The 21,803-nt window shown below is 59.0% G+C and overlaps 2 protein-coding genes across 8 annotated transcripts in view, besides 2 other annotated features; one reads left to right on the forward strand and one right to left on the reverse strand.

Moving 5' to 3' along the window:
• MACROD1 (mono-ADP ribosylhydrolase 1) overlaps window positions 1-21,803 on the reverse strand; it is a 167,556-nt gene that overhangs the window by 69,337 nt on the left and 76,416 nt on the right. The gene's annotated exons all lie outside the window — the stretch shown is intronic.
• Window positions 1-21,803, forward strand: part of FLRT1 (fibronectin leucine rich transmembrane protein 1) — an 83,241-nt gene that overhangs the window by 31,964 nt on the left and 29,474 nt on the right. The gene's annotated exons all lie outside the window — the stretch shown is intronic.
• Window positions 1,267-1,994: an enhancer, noted in NCBI's record as "H3K27ac-H3K4me1 hESC enhancer chr11:63836633-63837360 (GRCh37/hg19 assembly coordinates)". NCBI's record gives its function as "activates a minimal SCP1, AML or CMV promoter by ChIP-STARR-seq in primed H9 embryonic stem cells {active_cell/tissue: H9 hESC(primed)}" and the evidence as "EXISTENCE:reporter gene assay evidence [ECO:0000049][PMID:30033119]".
• Window positions 5,409-5,597: a silencer, noted in NCBI's record as "fragment chr11:63840775-63840963 (GRCh37/hg19 assembly coordinates)". NCBI's record gives its function as "represses an EF-1alpha promoter that drives an FKBP-Casp9 reporter gene in an ReSE screen in K562 erythroleukemia cells {active_cell/tissue: K562}" and the evidence as "EXISTENCE:reporter gene assay evidence [ECO:0000049][PMID:32094911]".

Raw genomic sequence — 21,803 nt, forward strand, 5'->3', positions numbered from 1 at the left:
TTCGCTCGGCTTTTAGGAGGGGGCTGGCGGTGAACCCATCCCCGTTACAATGCACTCAGGGACCCTGACAACTAATTTAATTTAAAACAGCCTTGCAATAAAAGCTCAGAACGGAAAACCGCCGGTCTTGGGGGTTATTTAACAAATTGCCTCACAGATAAATACATTAAAATGATTCTCAAACCGGAGCCGGGCGAAGTTGAAGTAAAATTAAGAAAGTTGAATCAAAATGTAAATTAATGGCATTAAGATATGGCGTTCAAATTGGCAGGACTCACGCTTCGGGAGTGTTGGCAACGGTTCTGCCTTCTGTTCAGGTGATGTGGCACCTCCACGCGGTGTCAGAAACCCCTTCAGTCCCAGGCATTGGGGAGCTGGTGGCAAGGCCACCCCAACCCCACCCAGCACCCGCCTGTCCCACTCTTCCGCCTTTGGGGACAGTGATGCCTACCAGGCCCTGGCAGGCTCAGGCCCAGCTGCCCGCATGCCCTAGTAGCTGTAAAATGGAGGTATCTACTGCATTGACCTCACCAGCTGCTAGCAAGGAATAAAAGAGTCTGGGCACGGTAAGGGCTGGCACAGATTGGAGCCCTCCACAAACATGAGGTCCTAGGATAACGATGGTTGTCTCCCTTGCACATATTTACTGCCGATTACTCTTACAGAGCCCCGCATTCCCATTTGATTGGCAGATAAACTGAAGCCAGGGAAGCCCAGGCAGAATAGATAGGGTTCCATGTGCAGAGGGGCTTTTGTCTCTACCCCCTCCAGCCTGCACCAAGGGTCCTGATCTCACGTGTCTGTCTCTCCCAGCTGAGGGCAGAGAAGCTGCAGCTGGGACAGCTGCTAGCCTGGGAGCCCAGATAATGGGCTCAGAACCTGGGAGCACCCCCATGGGCATGCTCCCCCATCCTTTGTGGGCCTGTGTCACTGAGCAGCCCTCCCAGCCTGGTTGAGTGAGCCTCGGCCTTCCCCGGAGGTTCACAGAAGTGTGGGGACTTGGCGGGAAATGGGCATCCGTGTGAACCCCCACCCCAGAGTGGCCCAGGTGCCAACAGACAGCACTGGGAACATTATCTAGAGCTGCCTATCCTGATAGTGCCACTCACTAATCAGCTTGGGACAGAAAAGAAGAGGGATTCCTCCGGGGGCAGTGGCAGGTGGGGGTGGGGCAGGATGGGGGCAGGAGAAGGAGCCCTGGAGAACCAGTTAGGGGTGTGAGGGTGACGGTGTCCAGCACTTCTCCCAACCTTCGATTGCAGGGGTCGAGGGAGAGGTGCGGGGAGCAGAGCAGGAGGGCCACTGCGCGCGGCCGGGGGCCCGAGGTGGGCGCCTTCACCTGGATCCGCAGTTCTACCTGACACCGGAGACAGCTCTGAACCGCAGGGGAAGGTGCTGCCAGGCCTGGATGAGGCACGGCTGTCAGCCGAAGAGCCTGGGGGGCACAGGAGGCTGCCAGAGGATGGGGGTCTCTCTCTGGCCCAAAGCCCCAGGAGCCAGACCTTCTCCCTGCCATCTGGCTCAGGGACCCTGGGGGTCTTGGAGCCCACTCCCCAAGGACAAGCTGCTGGCCAGTCTGGTCCCCTTTAGCCTCTGGCTCTGGGGTAGGGGAAGGGCAAGCACAGCCACAGGAAGCCTTTGTGGGGAGGGAGGGGCTCTCCCTGCCCGTGTGGTGCCCCTAGCTGTGGGGCCAGGTGTGGAGGGGGCCAGGGCTGCTGATGCCTCCTGCAGTGGCCTGACCCCATCCTGGGCATGGGGAGGCAGCCCCTCCATGGCTTCCCTGCAGGGGCACAGGCAGAGCAGGCGGTGGTGGGGCTGGTGACACCCCCGGGCCCGGCCCCGGCAGCTGTGTCACCTAAATGCTTCGCCAGGAAACCTCCGCACGCTGCCGGCCACTGCAGACGCAGCAGACGCAACAGGCTTCTTATCGACAGTCATTAAGTCTTTAGCAAATGGTTCAGAGAGAAAAAATAGCCACGATGAGGATTTATCTTGGGCGCCCCTCCCAGACCTCAACTGAGAAGGCACATGTCACCCTGAGCCCGACTCGCGCCCAGTGGGATCAATGTCCCTCTGCAGGGGGCAGAGCAGGGGGCCAGGAAGCTGGGGGACAGGCGGGGATGGTGAGAGGTGTCCGCCAGACCAGGCTCTGTGCTAAGCACTCCCTGCAGCCTCTTAATCCTCAGGGCAGCATGAGAGATGGATGCTGTTATCACTATTATACCCCTTACATAGATGTGGAAACTGAGGCCCGGAGAGACCAGGTCGTGTGCTCAGGGTCACACAGCTGGTTGGGCGACAGAGATGTGAGGTGAATCCCTGCTGCACCAAGTGGGGTGTCTGAGTCTACTGATCAGAGCCCTACCTGGGCTGCCAGTCCTCAGCCCAGCCTTGGGGAAGGAATCGGAGCCTCCTCATGTTCCCTGGGGGCCTCGGAGCTGTGACTGAGAATTCCAATGATCCTCCTGGCCCTTCTGAGCTTGAGCTTTCTCTCCTATAAAATAGAGCCGGCCACGCCTCTCCAGGAGAGGCCTCCGGGAGGGACTGCAAGGGATAAAACGCCAAACAAATAGGAGCTGGTGGGAAGCTTTCGGACCCTCCTTGCAGGAATGCAGGCCATGGGAAGGCTGCCCGAGAGCAGAGCTCGAGAACTCGAAGCAAGTCAGGTGGGATCCAGCCTCACCCTCCCCTCTCCCCCGGAGGGGCCCCCTTCCCAGAGGAGGAGAAAGCACCATAACTAACACTCGGGCTGGGGCCTCAGGGGCCTCCCAGCTGATCGGGGCAGATTTAACAGGACTTTGAAAAATAAAAAAGGTAAAACAGCAAAACAGCTGCCTGCTCCTCCCGCTGCAATAAAAATGGATTTATTTGTTCGTGGAATGAAATTTAATAACTGGTGGGAGACGAGGCGTGAACAATAATAGTTTTTTGCTCTTTCTCGTTTTGGAAGAGGGGAGAGGAGGAAGGAGGAATGAATGGGGCCCCCCTCTGGGACACTTGGGGAAGGGGTACCCATGGGTCCACATCTTCTAGGGGTTGGTTAAGTAGACCAAGGAGGGGCTGTCTTTATTCCAGGCTCTGAAGGGTTTGACTATTCAATCCTCAGACCTCCACAGTTCACAGAGCGGCCATACTCATCTCTTTATTCTTCTCTGTGCACCTGTTGGGGACACCAGGCCTTTGTCTCTGTTGGGACCTCCACCTGGGGTGGCTTTTTGCCTTTGTTGTCAAAATTCTACTCATCCTTCCCCAGAGCCCCCTCAAAATAACCTCCTCTAAGGCCCCTGGTTTCCCCCAGCTGCAAACCACCCTCCCAGCCTTCCTCCCTAAGACCCTGTCAGGTACCTCTCTCTCTCAGGGAACCCACAGGGTTCCCACCCAGCACAGGCCTGTGTGGGGTACTCAGGTGCTCCCTGATTCCAGCTGGGATCCCAGACCTGCGGTCTCAATCTCTGGGCCCAGCACAGAGCAGCTCTCTAGCAATGTTTGTTGAATGAATGAATGAAACTCACGGATGGAGACCCAGTGTCTACCCTTCCCCTTAACTGGTATGGCCAGGGCTGGGGCTGGGCTGAGGCCAAGGAGAGCATTGTCCCCTTGGCCAGCTCGCCCAGGAGTCACCCTGGGGCCCATCCCAGACCAGGGGCCCACTCTGGGCAGGGTGGGAAACCTTGCCCCTTAGTTTCCTTCCCCAAATGACCGCTCTTCCCACTACAGGTTCTGTCGTATCACCTCTCCAGACCTGTTTCCCCATTTGTGAAGTGGGAACCACAGAGCCCCCCAGCTTGGTGGTTATGGGGTGGTCATGAGACCAAGGCCCTTTGTCAAGCAGGAGGCCCTAGAGTCACAGATGGCAGGAGACTGGCCTGCCCCATCCTCCTCAGGGCCTGTGGGGCCTAAAGGCCAAGGGGTAGGGATGGATCTTTAAGGGGCATCGAGACTCACCCAGGCCAGGCTGTGGGCCGTGGGCAGTAGTGGCGAGAGCCCTGGGAGGGCGCCTCAAGAAGCAACCCCTAATCTGCCCAGTGACACTTCTAGGTCCCGGCTCTGCAGTCTGGAGAGGCCTCAGCTGCCGAGGGGAACGGGCTGGCTCCTGAGCCGCTCCAGCAGGTCGATAGCAAAACAAACGCACTATTGACCGCCGCGCGCACTAAATCCTCCCGGCAGACAAGATGATGTGAGCCCGAATCGAATCGACTGCTGAACTCATAACCGCTGGGGCCTGCCCCGGCTGGCAGCCAGGGGTGGGAGTGAGTGGGAGCTGTGGCTGGGCCTGGGGGGACTTGGGGGTCGGGAGCAGGGTCTGCTTCATCCTCAGCTGCTGTGGGATGGAGGGGCTGGTTCTGCACCCAACCCACAGATGGGTACAGGGGTGATGCCGGCCCTGGAGAGCCAGGCCCCAGAACTGTAGCAGCCTGTGGCTGCACCAGGGCGAGCCTTTGGGGGTTGCCTCTGGCAGAGGCCGTGGAAGCCAGCAATGCAGGAATCCCAGAAGCCAAAATTAGAAGGTCAGCTGATCCGGCTCATTTAAAAAAAAAAAAATAATAATTACATAACATTGGATAAATATGAAACGTACATGTGGCATTCCATAAGTTACGAGCATGATGATAAACCAGGCACCCGTGAACCCGCCACAGAAACTAATAACATAGCAGCTGCGCTGCATCCTGACGTGTGGCCTTGGCCATGTTTGCTGGGGCCTTGGTCTCCACAAACATCAGATGGGGATAACAAAGCCCCCTCGCCCCCATGCCCTGGTTATAGGGCTGTTCTCCCCATGCCCTGGTTATAGGGCTGTTCTGGGGATTAGAGGAGTTAATGTCTTAAAGCACTAGAAATACATTAAGAAGCAACTGCTTTTGGAATCTGGGGTTGATCTCTGTCTTGCTTTGTGTTGCAGCTCCACCCTGCATGTGGCTCAGTGGTCCCCAACCAGAGCGTCTGAGGGTCTGTGAACCCCGAATCCCACATAAACCTACGTGTGGAGCAGGGGCTTTATTTTTTCTCAAAAGAGTCAGGTTCTCAAGGTGACCTTCCCCAAAGTGGAACCCTCTGATCTGTTCTAACTGCCCTGTCTTCTGAAGGGTCCTGCAGCCCAGAGAGGGGTCGGGACCCACCCACAGGCAGCCAGAGGCAGAGCCAGCAGGCCCAGCTCCTGACGGCACAGAGCCACTTGTCCCTGCTCCAGGGTGCCCAGACACATGCAAAGAGGCTGCGGAGGGGGCCAGGGACCCCCACCGTGGGTTTCTGAGGGCCACGGGGCACCAGGCACAGACTCCCAGGGCTGCCTGCTTCTGCCTAAGTTTACCCCCTCATCCGGCCATCGGTTTCTTCAGAGATACTTCTGGGTACCCGCTCTGTGCTGATGGAGCTGGCTGTGATCAACCGGCTGTCACTTAACCAGTGTCCTGTGCCCCCAGCAGACTCCCACTCCCCCATGCCCATCCTGGCTTTGCTCTGAGGCAGCCCAGACCAGACTTGGGGGTCCCAGAGACCTGTCTTTGAACCCCACTTGCAACTTCTGGCTTCTACTCTTAACTCCCTTGAGCCTTAGTTTGGGCACCTGTCAGGTGGACAGCATGAAACTGGAGGTTGGTGGAAGGATTAGCTGAGGTCCTCTGTGGCACTTACTAATTAACTTAACTAATTCAAAATTAGTGCCAGTTGCCTGCCGTGCTGAGGCCACTGGCCTGGCCCAGGTACGGCAGGTGCAGGCCAGAGCCAGCGCTGGGGGTGCACATGTACGTCTGGGCCGGGAGCCTGTGAGGTCTGGCACATCAGATGGCATGCGAGAGTGTGCGTGCGCGTGGGTTCTCGCCTCCCAAACACACTCCTTGGGGAGTAAAAGCTGGGCCTCGGCAGGGTAAACACTGGAGCTTCCCACTGAGAAACCCAGCAGCCGCATCCAGCCCTGTGTTGGGGAGGGGGGCCCACAGCCCCCAGAGCCTTGCAGGGCCAGAGATGCAGTTGGGGACCCGGATCCAGCCCAGCCACTTAGGGGCTCTGGGGTTGAAGGGTTGGTTGGGCTGAAGGTCAGGGAGGGAGGCTGGGGCCCTGAGCCCCCAGGGTGCTTTGGAGGCCCAGGCACAAGGCAGAGGCGTCTGGCCAGGCCCTGAGTCCCCAGCATGTCTGCTCCAGGGCCACTGTCAGCCCGGCCAGCTGGGGATGGGGGTGGGGGGAATACCCCCTCCCCATTCTGGCCTTGCCTCCTCTCAAAGAAAGAGTCATCTAGAATGTCACAAGTAGACATGAAGCTGGCTCAGGGCAATGGTCTCCTTTTATGATGGGGAAACCGAGGCAGAGAGAAAGGAGGGCTTCCCCCAAGGCCCCAGAATGCAGTTCGTGGGGTTCTTTCCTCTTTCTCAGGTGTGAGGCTCATGAGGAAGGTTTCCCCACCTTTCCTAGCTGCCGAGCTCCTATGCATTCTGCAAGGTCCCGCTCTGGGAGGATTTCCCAACCACTGCCCTCTCACCTCTGCAGTTTCTAATAGCAGCTTCCTGTGCTGAGCTCCAGGGGTGTGGTCCACCCACAGGATCCCACGTGACCCTAGGAACAGCCGTGGGAGGGAGGACCTGTCATGTTATAGATGAGGAACAGAGCTCAGAGAGGTTCAGTTTCTGGCCTAAGGTCACGCAGCAAATAACGTGTGGAGAAGCAATTCCGATGTCACCTCCATGTCCCCGCAGGCCCTCCGTGGCAGCCCTTCTCCCATTGCTGAACTGGGCTTTCCCCAAGGGGGGCTGTGCCCTTACAGCATGTCCAAGTAGTGGGACCCCCTTTATCCCAGGAGCTAGATACCACCAAACTGCCCTGTGGGTCCCTGAGCTGCTGCCCCAGAGGCCCAGGGGTGACCAGGCTCCAGGCTTCTCATGAAACAAGCAGGTTATTGAATGGAGTCACTCCCCAGTTCCTGGGGCTTGGGGTGGGGAAGCCTGTGGCCTGCCTGGTGAGCTCTGACCTCACTCCAGGATCCTGAACATGCCCCTTTCCATCTGGGAGCCTCCTGCAGGGTCAGGGAGATGCCACCCTGGGGCAAAAGGGGTCACTTCCCATTAAATCAGTTGGGCTCCTGACCACTGTACCCCTCTCCTTAAGGTTGAAAAGGGAGGTCCAGGAATTCAAGACCCCACCCTAGCCACCTGTGTGCGGACAGGGGGTTCTGGCTTTGGGGAAGGCCTGGGCTCCACTGTGGCTTCAGGAAGCACCTTGGTCTCTCTGGGCCTCTTTCTCTCACTTGGAGAAAACGGTTGGTGAGGCTGACCCCACAGGGCAGCGCATGAGGGTCTGAGGCCATGAGCCTGGACCATTCTGATCCACATGCCAGCTCCAGCCTCTCAGGGACTCCTGGACCATGTCTAGATAGGCTGGGACCTGCCTGGCTGGCCCTTGGCCCCTCCCTCCAGGTGACATCCCATCACCCTGTTTAGACAGAAGTCATCTTTCTGGGTCTAAACCGTTCCCTGGGCACTATCCCAAGCTTGACACTTTATACCCATCATTTCTTCATTGCAATCCAATATTGTTTCCATTTTACAGATGGAAGCAACCGAAGCTCAGAGAGGCTAAATAACTTCCCCAAAGCTGCCCAGCTAGTAGGTGGCAGGGCCCCAGCTGGGCTCAAACCGAGGGAACAGGCAGAGGTGGAGGGATGATCTGGCCTGCTGCCCTCCTTCCCTCAGCAGCCAGATCCTTGTCCCATTCCATCCTGATATGGAGTGACAACCTACACAGCTCTGGCTGAGAAGAAGGGGGACCCCGAATCTGGCCCTGGCTGCTGCTGCTTCTTTTTTTTGAGATGGAGTTGCGCTCTTCTTGCCCAGGCTGGAGCGCAGTGGCACAATCTCAGCTCACTGCAACCTCCACCTCCCAGGTTCAAGGGATTCTCCTGCCTCAGCCTCCCAAGTAGCTGGAGTTATAGACTTGAGCCACCATGCCCAGCTAATTTTGTACTTTTTTAGTAGAGACGGGGTTTCACCATGTTGGTCAGGCTGGTCTCAAACTCCTGACCTCAAGTGATCCACCCGCCTCGGCTTCCCAAAGTGTTGGGATTGCAGGCGTGGGCCACTGTGCCCGGCCTGGCCCTGTCTTCTTGGCATGCTGCTACCTCAGGCTGGGGTGAAGGAAGCCCTGGTTCCAAGTCGCTCTCTCAATCCCTCCTTCCCACAGCCTCCTGGTGGATCCAGCCTGCAGCCAGAGGCCTCTCCCTCAAGCACAGGCTGGCCCTGCCAGTCACCTGCCCCTGCCCTGACCCCAGCGACCTTCCCAGCTCCCAACACATCACCCTTCCCTTGCTGTGCTCCTGCCCCTCCATCTCACCATGCAGGGTCCTGCTTCCTTAGCAAGACCCTCCAGCCCTCACCAGGTGCCCCCATGACCCTCCACTGCATGGGTCAAAAGACCCCACATGCCATGCTCTGACTTGGGGTTAGGGACAGGGACAGGTCTGGAGTCTCCCTGGTGCCCAGAGCAGCCTGGAGACCGTGATTGTCTCCAGTGCCCACAGCAGTGCTTGGCACATCACAGGTGGTCAACTGTACTGGATGGATGGATGGACGGATGGATGGACGGACGGACGAATGGATGGATGGACGGATGATGTCTCATCTGTGCCGGGCCCTGTGCTGGCACTGGGGTCTGGAGACATAGTTGCTTCTCTAAGTTCTCGGCCAGAGAACTTAGTCATCCTCACAACAGCCTTATTGGACAGATACTATCATTATCTCCATTTTCCAGAGGAGGAAGCTGAGGCACAGAGAGAGACGAAATCGCCTAAGAACACACAGCTCAGAAAGAGGTTGGTCCTCCATGTTTTCAGGAGCCGGAGGTTTGATCCAGGACAACACTGCGATGAGCATGTTGTTGTTGGCAGAGCTAGCTAAGGTGGGACCCAGGCTCTGGGCTCCCGTCCCTCCTACTGCGTGAGCAGCCCCCCGGTCCTCCTGCAAGCCTCTTCCTGCCTCCATCCCTTGCCTTCCCAAGCTGCCACACTTACTCATCGGCTTGGGGCTAAGACTTCTTCATGTGGAAGGGATCAGCACGGAGAGAATTTTCACAGCTGGGTTATCACCTCCTAAAAATAGGGCTGAGTGACGGATGGGAGCTGTCGCTAGGCCCTTGAGCTGTGGGGAGTAGATGGGAGGGAGGGAGATAGGGCAGGGTAGGGGGGTCCACAGACCCCAGACCCCACAGGCCTCAGCCCAGTGCCCTCCACCTCAGTCCAGCCTCGGGTAGGCCTGAACCCCTTCTCCCTGATGATGGAGAAACTGTTCTGCAGCTGAGGTCTTCAGAACTGGGTCTGAGCCTCCAGGAGGAGCTACCTGGAAAGGCACCAGCCACAGGGACCCAGTGATTCATTTGCCCAACAGGTACCCCAGGCGGCCAGCTGGAAATGTTTGCATCCAGGGGGTCAGGGAGGCCAGCACCATCTCTCAGGGGCTGTGCTTCCAGAAGCAATGTCTGGGAATTGGGGGCCCCTGTCACGGGGCTGCCCTGCCCTCTGTCCCTCCCCAGCTGTGCCCCGTCCTCGGATTTTCCCCCCAAGCTTCTTGGTTTTTAAAGACCCATCAGCCTTGCCTCAGGACCCAGGTACTGATGGGCATTTGTGGAGACAGACTAGGCTGCAGGCCGCATGTGGGAAGGTGAGGGGCGGGGCAGGGGGGGTCCCTCACTCCCAGTGCACATGTGCACACATTCCACCTAGACACAGACTGACGGGCACACACGAACAGAACTCATAGATGGACGCTCAGAGGCACATGCTGGCACACCCCCACCTGCCGTGCCCCCTTGTTGTCTGGGAGCATCAGCATTCAAACAGGTCTCAGGGGGTCACTACCCCTCACTGCATTGCCGAGGGAGGAGTCCCCAGCCCGTGGCTGGACTGGGCCCTGGCTGGGCCTCCGGCCGCCGCTCGGACATTTGGGCAAGGAGTCTCCTTTGGCTATGGGTGGGCTTCAGGAGCCCAGGGCCCCCTGATTGGTGGCAACAGCAGATATGTTTAGGCCCTTAGACCCTCTGGGGACTGTGGCCTGCAGCCAGCTAAGCCCTGATGGGCCCGTGCTCAGCCTGGCCTCCTTTCCCCTGCCTCCTCCTCAGCGGGGGTCCCAGACGCTCTCCCCGTGCCCAAGGCCCAGGCATCGGGCACAGGGAGGTACAGCAGCTCTGGGAATGGCCTTCCCTTTCACAGTCACACTGCCCTGCGCACCTGCCGGCTTGGGGCTGCAGGCAGCACTCCTTTCCTTCCTCTCAACCTCAACCCTCCTTGTGCCCAGCTCTGTGCCCGCCCCAGAGATGCAGAAAGAACTGGCCATGCCCATGCCCAGTAGGACGTGCCCTCCAGAAGGGAGGTGGGCAGGTGTGCTCTCAGCACAGGTCCCAGGCATGAGACCCCTGCCCTGGCCTCTTCTCCAGCCTGGACCCCTGCCTGCAGGCCTGCCTCCCCTCCCAGTCCCTGGCCCGTCTGCGTTCAGCAGCTGCTCTCAGGGGGCTGAACGGCTGCAGAATTACAATATTAAATGCAGCTGCACCGAAACATGGCCTCAATCCAATTACGCCAGGAAACAAGAGGAGCCACTTAGGCTAATCTGGTTATTCCACCCCGGCCTCCCCTTGCAGCATCGGAGGGATACCCGGGAGGGGAGCTGTCTGGGTGGGCAGTGGTGTGAGCGCGGCCCTGTGCCCCACAGGGTCCCATGGGGGGTGGCCACAGGATTGCCTGGCCCTCTCCTGAGGTGATCATGGCTCCTGCATCCTTGTCCTACAAATATGTGCTCTTCACCGAGCTTTGAGGTGCCCCAGCAGCAAAGGGGGAGCCAGGCTTTGCCCTCAGGGAGGGCACCCCAAGCTGGGGAGACAGGCCACAAGGAAACCCAAAAGACGGGTGACTGCAGGGGGGGAGGCCTCTCTGAGCAGGGGGTGTGGGGGCAGGGGCCAGCTTGAGGACACATAGCTGGCCGTGGAGACTGTCTCGGCAGAGGGGACAGCGAGAACTCAGAGTGGGAGTTTGGCAGGTTCCAGGACATATCTTTATGCCAGTGCGGTTAAGGGTGGTGAATGGCGGAGACAGAGGTCTGTAGACTCCGACAAGGAACATGGATTTGTTCTGAGGGGAGGGTGGTGATGGGACTGGGTTCCCAGGGGCTTGCTGAGCCGCTGTGCGGACAGACCGGGGGCGGTGGGGAGGCGCTGCTGTCTCCTGGCAAGAGATGGTGCAGTGGGGGGCGGTGGACGGGAGGGAGGGAGGTGGTTGGATTCATTGGATTTGGAAAGGACTTGCTGACGACTGTGTGTGGGATGAGGGAAGAGGGTGTGTAGGGAGCCCCACGGCCCCTTCCTGCTCTGGCATGTGGCTTGAGGGGTCACAGGGGCTCCCACCTGTGCTGTGTGCAGCTGGCGCTGCAGATGCCTCTGGGAATGAGACAGACAGGGGTCTGCCCTCTGGGAGGTTACGGTTAAAGGGGAGACAGATTTGGAGCAAGGGATGATAGGAGGGAAGGGGGTCGTTGGGGATGGGGGGGTGTGCGAAGACAGTGGGTGTTGAAGCCAAGATCCAAGAAATGAGCAGCCGGGCACGCAGGGGCAGGAATGGGGCAGGGATGAGAACTGTGCCTTAAGCAGTCACCAGCAAATGCAAAGGCTTGGAGGTGAGAGAGACCGCAGCCGCCACGGGCACAGAGAGGAGTCCAGGGTCCTGGGCGTGGGGTGGGAGATGGGCTAGACGGAGGCAGAGTTGGGCCTAGAGGCCCCTCACTCAAAGCCTGTGGGAGCAGAGACCCCTGGAGGAGGTGTGGTTGGGGAAAGGAAGGACTGGGGATTGGGTTCAGGGAGAGAGTGGGGCGCACGCTCAGAGAAATGTGGAGTGGAGGTAAGGAGGGAGAAGAAGGCACTTCCATCTGGAGGTACAGCTGGGTCTGGGGACCACTTGGACCCCAGGAAGGAGCCACAGGGAGCCAGCAACAGCTCCAGAGTGAGGGAGTACCAAGACAGAAGCTTGTCTTCAGTCGTAAATGAGGGAGGCAGGGTTGTATCACAGGAAGGGACAAACTGACCTGAGATCAGGCCTCAGCTGTGTTATTCACTTGAGACCTTGAACAAGTTGCTTTCCCTCTCTGAGCCTGGAATTTTATTTAATTTTGAGATGGAGTCTCACTCTGTCGCCCAGGCTGGAGTGCAATGGCACCATCCCTGTTCACTGCAACCTCCGCCTCCCAGGTTCAAGCGATTCTCCTGTCTCAGCCTCCCGAGTAGCGGGGATTACAGGCGTGCGCCACCATGCCTGGCTAATTTTTGTATTTTTAGTAGAGACGGGGTATCAACATGTTGGCCAGGCTGGTCTCAAACTCCTGACCTCAAGTGATCTGCCTGCCTCAGCCTCCCAAAGTGCTGGGATTACAGACGTGAGCCACTGTGCCTGGCTGAATATTTTTCTTTATAAGCTTAGTTCAAATTCATCTTTAAACATTGAGATATAACTCACATACCATAAAAGTCACCCCTTCAACGTGTAGAATTCAGCGGGTTTTTTTGTGTGTATTTACAAGGTTGTGCAACCATGATTCCTATGTAATTCCAGAACATTTTCATCCCCTAAAAAGAAGCCTCAGGTTTATCATTTGTAAAGTAGGGACAAAAATAAGCACCTAAATCAAAGAGAGGTGGCGAGGGTTGAACACAAGACACCCAGTACAGTGCTCAACACGTAGGCGTTCAGCAAGGGAGGGTTACGTTTATGATACAGTTACGTTTATGAGCCTCCCCTCCCTGCATCCACTACACAGACCTCAACTACTGAGGACCTCTCAGACCCAGGACCGGGGAAGGAGGACGTGCAGAGGGGACAGGCCCCCGGCTGGATCCAGGGGTGGCTTTTAGAGCCAGTGGTGCTCAGAGAGGACCAGCAGTGTCCTCGGGCTCAGTGATGGGAGAACTCTTGGGGTGATGGGGAGGGAAGAGGCACCCTGAGCAGCCATCAGTGGCTGTTTCTGGCACTGAGGACTCGGGCTGCAGGCAGACCTTGAGAGAATCCCCACTGCTCCTGAAGTCCCTCCAGTCTGTTGGAATTATGTGACATTGTTGAAGTCTGTTTAATGAGGGGACATTCTGCCATCTTCCCCCAAGGTTACACTTCTTATTTTATTTATTTTGAGATGAAGTCTTGCCCTGTCCCCTAGGCTGGAGTGCAGTGGCATGATCTCAGCTCACTGCAACCTCCACCTCCCAGGTTCAGACAATTCTTCTGCCTCAGCCTTTGGAGTAGCTGGGATTACAGGTGTCCACCACCATGCCTAGCTAATTTTTGTAGTTTTAGTAGAGATGGGGTTTCACCATATTGGCCAGGCTGGTCTTGAACTCCTGACCTCAGGTGATCTGCCCACCTCGGCCTCCCAAAGTGCTGGGATTACAGGCGTGAGCCACCACGCCCAGCCTACACTTCATATTTTAAAATCAATGACCATGAACTCGCATATCCTGAGGTGTCTAGAGTGCTGGGCGTGCTCAGGGACGTTACAACAGCACTGTGGTCCTGGGACCTGTCCCAGCTGTGACCCTCATACAGGGATTGGCAGAGTGCCAGCAAGGGCTCAGGACAAGCCCTGCCTGGTACGTGGGGTTCAGTGAACATCAGTGTAACACCCCCCCGACCCCATCGCAAACCACACATATCATGGGTATTATCAGAGCGGCTGAAGGCACAGGCCAAAGACAGGGAGCAAGGTGAGGAAGGGGACCACTCTGGGTGTAGACTCTGGTATTCAGTCGGCGCCCCATACATGCTTTTCTGCTTGAACCATGCAGGTGAGGGCGTGTGGCTGAAGCCTGTTCCTGCTTGGGGGTTGGCCACACAGCATCCCAACTCCAGGTCCAGAGCCGAGCCTGACAGCCCTCCTCCACTGCCTCCTGGAGCTGCCGGAGAGAGGTCCGGGTCCGTTCTCCCCAATTCACAGACATGAAGACTGAGGCCGTGGTTCCAGTGGCTGCTCGGTGGTGGGGCTGGAGCTTGGCAGCATCCTGCAGCCCTCTGGACTCCCGGCTCTCGAGTGCCGCGTTCTACCTGCTGTGTTCTAAATGGACATGCCATCCCCACAGCTGTGTCAATAAAGCAGCCATTTACAGAGCGGGCGCCGGATCCCGTGACAGGTTGAAAAGTGTGTGAGCTGCAGCGTCCTGGGCTGGGGCAGAGGGGCCGTGGCGAGAACAGATGGGGCTGTGCCCATCTCCCCAGGCCCTCCTGTGGCTGCGCCTGGAGCCTCCCGGGAGGGAGGCCAGAGCCAGGAGCAGGCCAGAGCCAGGAGCAGGCGCGAAACATCCCTTAAATATTGGTGCTCTCGGCAGCACTGGGCCCCTGCTTAGCAGAGGATGGCTGAGCCTGGGGGGTGGAGAAAATCTTGCCTCCTGCTCTGAGCAGCCAGCAGAGACGCTGGGTGGAGGATGATCCGGGGGGACCGTGGAAGGCAGGACGGGGGCCAGGAGCATGGCTGGAGTGATTGATGGCTGGGAGGGAGCCTGAAGTGGGGGCGTCCTAAGGTGAGGGGCAGGCAGGTGAGGGGCTTGAGGGCAGGGCTGAGGGACTGAGGGCCAGGCTGGGGCCAAGAGCTGGTCCCAGGGGGTGAAACAAGGCTCGGTGCCTAACGGTGGTGGCCGTGGGAGTCAGAGCTCCAGGCGGAAGTAGGGTTCAGATTCAGGTGAAGCTTAGGGGTCCCTGGGCTGAAGACGGAACCTCTGAGTGCAGGCACCAGGTGGGAGGGTGGGGACCCCCAGCCTGGAGCCCCAGACCCCTGTCCTGCTCCACCCTGCAGGCCCCTGGGTCTCACACAAGGAATGTGGAGCATCCTCCTGAGAGGACTCAGAGGGGATTCCTGGGCCTTGGCATTTGGGACCCCTGAAAGTCACCTGCTCCCATTTCCCCTGTTTCCCTCAGCTCAGACATCACCACGACCCACAGGGCACCAGACACCGAGGTAGGCAGGGCTGTGCCTGCTCCAGCCCAGGGCCCCCTGCCTCTCTGCCCTCATCTGTCCCTGCCCTGACCTCTCTCTGCCTTCCTTCCTCGTCACAGCAGCTGCCGTGTGCCATTGGCACCTCCTGTGTGCCAAGTGCTGGCTTAGTCTCCCCTGGCGTTTTCTCATATCCCATTAACAACCCACCCAGTGGGTATCATCATCCCCATTTCACAGGTGAGGAAACTGAGGCTCAGGGGGGCAAAGTGACTCCACAGGCCAAAGATGAATGAGTAAACAGCAGTATAATATGTAAATGGAGCCGGGTGCAGTGGCTCATGCTTGTAATCCCGGCACTTTGGGAGGCCGAGGTGGGTAGATTGCCTGAGCTCAGGAGTTCGAGACCAGCCTTGGCAACATGGTGAAACCCCATCTCTACTAAAATACAAAAAAACAGCTGGGCATGGTGGTGGGCACCTATAGTCCCAGCTACTCCAGAGGCTGAGGCAGGAGAATCTCTTGAACCCAGGAAGTGGAGATTGCCATGAGCTGAGATTGCACCACTGCACTCCAGCCTGGCAACACTGCCTGGGCAACACAGTGAGACTCTGTCCCCCAAAAATAAAAGAAGCAAATGGCAGGATTTGAACCCCAGCCTGTCCGCTTCGGGTGCCTGGCTTTTTTCCATCCCGTCTCCCTCCCTCCTCTTGATCCTCTCGTATTATGTTGTATTTCTGTAAGCTGCCACAAATCCTTTCGAGAACGAGCCGGGAATAAATAAATAAGCATGTAAGTGAGTAATGAGAGGCCGCAGTGAGATGCCAACGCCGGGTCAGAGCTAGGACCTGGTTATCAAAATAGGAATGGGACTCGCCAGACTGGCTCCAGGTCTTCTGCTAGTGTGTGGAATGGGGGTTCGGTGACTCCTGAAGGGCCCCAGCCCCAAATTCCCAAGGTCAAGGGGTGAGTCAGCAGGGGTTGGCATCAACAGACCGACGGATCTGCCAGGGCCGGTGAGGGGCGCTGACCTGGGGGGTGCTGGGCGAGTGTGAGCAGCGTGCAGGCGGGCGTGCGGCCGGCCCCGTGGGCAGGGGCACATATGCGGCAGCCCGGCGCTGCTGTGGGCTGACATGAAGAGTGTCATTTACACAACTGGAACACGTGCTGGGTTCCGGCCTTTCACTGGTCCCTCAGGAGGCAGAGCTGGTGGTGAGGCAGAGACTGAGGTTTCCATAGTGTGTCCCTGCCATCCTGCACACGGGCCTGTGTGTGCATCTATGAGCGTGTGCGTGTAGGTATACCTGTACATGAGTGCATGGCACGCGCGCCTTCTGCAGTCCTGGAGGATGCTGCCTCCCCCTCCTCTCAGCCCCCTCCCAGGCCTGGGGCAAAGCAGTGACAGGGACTCAGCCTCCAAAGGTGACACGGCTATTTCCATGCCTGGATCCTGGCCAGAGGCAGCAGGAACACATGTGTGAGAGTGGGGGATGCCTGTCCCCCAGCCTCGAGGAGCCCCTGCCACGTGCTCTGCCCACGTGCATTTCCTGCTCTGCCCCCGCTGCCTGAGCTGCCTACCTTTCCCGCGAAGCCCCCTCCCTGCACTGTGGGCAGGCGCTGTGGAGGCAGCAGCAAAGAGGCAGCGAGGGTGGGAGGACAGTGAGCCTTGGGGTCACGGGGCCTGGGCTTGGGTCATCGCTGCTGCAGGCCTGAGGCAGTTTCTTTGCCTCTCTGAGCCTCACTTTCCTTCTCTGTAAAATGGGTGGACAGTACCCACTTAGGACAGCGCCTAGAAGGGACCCAGCGCATGGCAGTGGGGTCAAAGAGTGATGGGCAGGTTGGGCAGGGCCAGTCAGGAGGGAGCAGGGCTGTCCACGTGCCCGTGCTGCTTCGGCTCAGCCCTAGGCCACACCTCGTGCCTTGGTGACCCCAGCATTCTCCCTCACCCGCCAGCCCAGACTGGGCAACCAAGAACCGTAGCCCCAAGGTCCAAAGAGGTAATGCCCCGGCCCGGGAGGGGCGCAAGACCACAGGACTCACAGGGAGAGCTGCGTGTGTGGGGGCTCTGCAGTCCCCCTGCTCCCTCCAGCCAGCCTTGGTGCTGCCCTCCCACAACAAGGGTTTCCGTCTATGGGGAGGCCACATGCAGACACAGTTCTAACTCTGCCTTACTATAACAATGGGTCCTATTATCCCCATTTTACAGATAAAGAAACTGAGGCTCAGAGAGGTTCAGTCATTGCACAGATCCCCCAACATATCAGTAGGTTTCAAGCCCATGCAGTGGGGCACCAGGGAGGATTGGGGGTTCTGGGCAGAGGATGGGGCTTGAGGGCAGAGGGCAGCTTGGAGGAGCACGCCCGAGTGGACAGGTGGGGAGCTGGAAGGCTTAGCGGGGCTCCTTGGAGAGCAGCGCTGTCCCTGGGCACCACGGAGGTGGTTCCTGGCCAGAGCTGATTCTGTCCTGTTCAATTTTGAACTGAAGTGCAAACAAGCCTCAGCGCCCGCTGCTCCCACCCCAAATCGAATTCGTGCTAATATTTCTCTGGGGGCGGCGGGCTGCCTGCCTTCCGGGGACGGAGGGCGGGGGAGACTGGCAGGGAGGCCAGGCCCAACCACGGGGCTGCCGGGACCAGGCCATGTGTCTGGGGCGGCCGGCTTAGCTGGCTGGGATTGTCCACCCAAATTAAATTTTAACCCAGCTCATAAATCTTCCACTAAGTACGTCCCCTGCCGCCCGCCCGGGTCCACCCCAGGCCGCAGCGTGGGCCAGCACAGCGACAGCCTTGTTCCTCTGCCCCACATGGCTGTGGGGAGGCTGGGCCTACCTGCCTTGGGAAGTGGGACGGTCACCCACAGACAGGCCCAGGGGCAACCTTGCAGGCTGTCCCAGGAGGAAGTTCAGTGTTGTCCATTGGGGGCCTGCTTCTCCCAGCAACCTTAACTTCTCAGGCCTCAGTTTCCTCAGCTGGGCAAGTCGGGGAATAACAGCATCCCCAGCAGGGATGCAGGAGGAATAAGAGATGATGCAGATAAAGTCCTGGGGGGTGAGGAAAGGGGGCCCTTCTCAGGGGCCACCCCACCCCCACAGAAGGGGAGGCTCAGGTGCCCTTCCTGCGCCCCCAGCCCCTGCCTCAGCAGATGGTTAGTGGGCTTGCAGCCTCAAAGGAGGCTCAGGGAGGGAGGGTGGGGGTGGAGGTGGCCACAGCCTGTCCCTGCCCTCCCTCCCTATGGAGCCCTGGGGGCTGTGAGCTGAGTCGGCTGGGCCAGGCCATGAGCACTCAGCACTGGTGGGGTGGGTGGCTGCGCACACACAGCCATTCAGGGGAAGCCGGGACTCAACAGTGGGATCCCCCAGGGCTGGAGTGGGGAGGAGGGGCTTAGCTCAGAGCCCACCCTGCCCCAGGTCTTGCATTCGGGGCCAGAGGGAGGCTTCCTTTGTTGAATTGTGGTTTTAGGAGGCGTAAAGTGCATACCGGCACCTGCACAGCCTGGGGTGTGCAGTTCTAAGACCTGTGAATCTTACATATGCATATGGTGCCCTTGTGACTACCCCCGAGCTCAGAGGATGGAACATTCCCTCCCCACCCCCAGCTTTCTACTCTCCAGTCCAAACCTGTCCCTCTGCTCTCCCCATGCCCTCAGGAGGAAGTCCAGGCCCTTCCCTGAGGTCCCCTAGCTGACCGCCCTGCCCCAGGCTGAGTTGTCTCAGGACAGCCACAAAGCCAGCCTTCCTCCTGCCTCCGGGCCTTTGCACAGCGGTTCTGCGACTGGGGTGCTTTTTCCGGCCCCTGCAGCCCCACTTCTGTCTGAGACTCCTATTCATGCTCCAGGGACTCACATCATGTGTTCAGGGAAGACAGAGAGGGGGAGAAGGGCATGAAGAAGGAAGGTTCTCGTGCTCACAGTACAGAGATGTAGACACACCCAGATCACCCAAGCAGCTGTGGAGCTGGACGTGAGCCCTCATCCGCTCCTCCAACTAGCCCGTGACTTCCACAGGCGGTGCTAGGGGTGGCGGCTGGGGATGGAGCTGGGAGGGGAGGTAGCAGGCAGCCCGCTAGCCCTTCCCTGTCCTGGCAGGAGCTGTCACTGCCTCTCTCCTTGATGGCGGGGTATGAAGAGAAGCCTTTTGACGCAGGGAGATGACCCCTCCCCGGCCTCCACCTACACAGCAGCCACGTGGCCACCCTGAACAGCTGCCACAGTGACCGACACCCCCTGGATGTGTTTGTCCTCCCACAGCAAAGCACAATTAACATCCCCACTGGTAAATGATATGGGGCCATATTTCACCTGGACCCAAATGTGGGCCACAGAGGCATTAAAATAAATGACGGCACGGTTCAGTGAGGTCTCCGATTCTTGGATCTGGCAGAAGTGCACCTGTGCAGCGCCCCCACTGCTCTCCTGGGCCCCTGCCCCAGTTCCATGCCCTCTGTGCAGGGAAATCAACCTGCTCCTGTCACTTCGGATGTGGGAACAGGGTCCGCCACCCAGACCTCACCCCAACCCTGCCACCCCTGCCACCCCTGCCACGGCTGTAGCCCTGACCACAGGCCGGTTGTCCCCAGCCCGAGGAGACTCCGGGGTGCGTCTGCCTCCCAAGAAAGCCAGGTTCTCTGGGAACCAGACTGGGCAGGGTCCAGTTGGCCACACCTCTCCACAGTTGCCACCCCTTGCTGGAGCTCTGGGCTTGGAGGCAAGCACGCAGTCCCCAAGAAATGGGCGCAGCTGGTACCAGCATCCTGCAGCTTCACTCGCTGCAGCCTGCAAGGCTGGCCTTGCCCGCGGCCCCAGCCACCCTGCAGGACATGCAGCCACGGGTCCTTGTCCTCATATTCACTCTCCTGTGATGATCTCATGATGCTGCATGCTTGGCCTGGTCCTTGTGGTCCCTCACCCTGTCCACCCAGTACACAGAGCACGCTGTGCACGTCTGAATGACCGGAGGCTGGACGCCTGCCCAGGGCTGGCTTCTCTGCACTGTGGGGTCCACAGACCACTCTCCTGGGGGCTGTTTCAGGAGATGAAGGCAGTGGGTACACAGGGCTTAGCTCCTTCTTTCTGCGACAGGGGAGAGGTGGAGAGGCCTGGATTGTGTCAGGAGGGGAGGCCGGGCCTCCTCAGCTGTTCGAGGGGCCAGAGCTGGGAGGGCCTCGAGAGGGGCTGTGGTGTGGAAACACCCCGGTGGTGGAGGCCCTGGTGGCCCTGTCACTGGCTCTCTGGGCCTCCCCTGGCTCTTCCCATAGGCACTTGGCCCCTCTATCTCCACCCCAGGGCCCCAGGAGTTCTGTTACTCAGAAAGTGCTCTGCAAAAATAAAGTTGAACCCCGCAGGGACCCAAAGCAGCCAGACTCCTCCAGGGGTGTAGGGTGGGGAGGTTGGTAAAAGTCGCTGCCTCCTCTGGGGAGGGACCAGGCAAGCACCCAGGGGAGCCGTAGCCAGGAGATGGGGGGACCTTGCGTCACTAGGCTCGGTGGCCAGGCGGGGCCAGGGAGGGGCAGCATAGACCAGGGGGCAGTGGGGCCTTGGGCGTGACTGTCTGCGGGCCTCGGGGTCCTCACCTGTGGAAGGCCGGCACAAGCATCCTCCCTGTGAGCCCTGCAGGTGCGGCTGTGGGCCTGGGGCAGGGCAGGCGCTCAGGAGCTGGCTGCCTAGCCTCCCCTTCCTCACCAGGACGGCAGAGGCTGACTCTCCTCTCACCTGCAGGTGGCACCACCCTTTACAGTGTGTTTCTCCTGGCCTGGAGCAGGTCTCTCCTCCTCCTCCCCGGGTTTTGTTTTTCCATCAGCACACACCACCAGGCCACCCTTATTGGTTGTGTGACCCACGGCAAGTCACTCGACCCCTCTGGGTCTCGGCTGCCCTGTCTATGAAATGGGGATAATCGTGTGTTTCCCCAGGTCACTAAGAGCACGAGATGAACGACAGCAGACAGTAAGAGACTGAACAGAGCCTGGCACATGATGGGCTCTTGGTGGGTGGGAGTGGCTGTTCTGTTATTACTTGGCAGGGGCACTAGGCAGGATCGCAGGCGGAATCGGGTGTATTGAAGGTGCGGTTCACAAAGTCATGGGCGGGGTTAGGAAACCAACAGGGGAAGGTGGGCAGCTGTCACCATGGAGGCTGGGGAGGAGGCAGAGGTTACCAGACTCAGAGAGAGCCACCGAAGCCACTGGGAGGGCCACTGACAAGAGAGGGAAGCCTCAGGAACTCGTGCCCCGCCGGCTGTCCTCCCTCCCTCCGGCCTGCTGCTGTGGCTCCTCTGTGAACCCAGCCGGAAGGCAGGAGCCCAGGAGCCCGCTGGTGACCAGCAGCCTTCCAGGCACAGGGCGGGTCGGGGAGTGATCTGACGGGACAAGTGCTCTGCTGAGGGGCTGGCATTGCACCGCGGAGGTGAGGGCCCCGGGCTCTGGGTGGGGGAGCAGGGCTTGGTGCTGCTGTTTACCAGCTGTGAGACCGGGGTAGGGCAGCCAAGTGTCCCAGTGTGCCAGGGATTCGGACCCAAACTCGGTCAAAATAGGGCCCGCAAGTCCCCTAGACCTGGGGCAGGAGGCTTATCATCTCTGAGCCCAGATTCCCCATCTGTAACATGGAGGAGTCGTCACCTCACGGAGCAGGGGTGGGATTCAACACAGGTGTGGGTCCAGCCCCCTCCCCTGACTCCCCCAGGGCATTCTCCAGCCTCCTCCTGTTATCCATGCACTTTCCTTCCCAGCTGCCGGGTCGGCAGCCACGGACCAGAGAAAGCGGCTGAAAACTTGGGGAGACTGTTCTCAGAGCAAGGAACTCCCCAGTCCCAGCCTGGCCCCACTCCTGGGGTGGAGGTGATGCCTTGAGAGAAGCTGGCCCAGGGCCTGGACA

Source organism: Homo sapiens, chromosome 11, assembly GCF_000001405.40.
Source record: "Homo sapiens chromosome 11, GRCh38.p14 Primary Assembly".
Classification (NCBI taxonomy): Eukaryota; Metazoa; Chordata; class Mammalia; order Primates; family Hominidae; genus Homo; species Homo sapiens.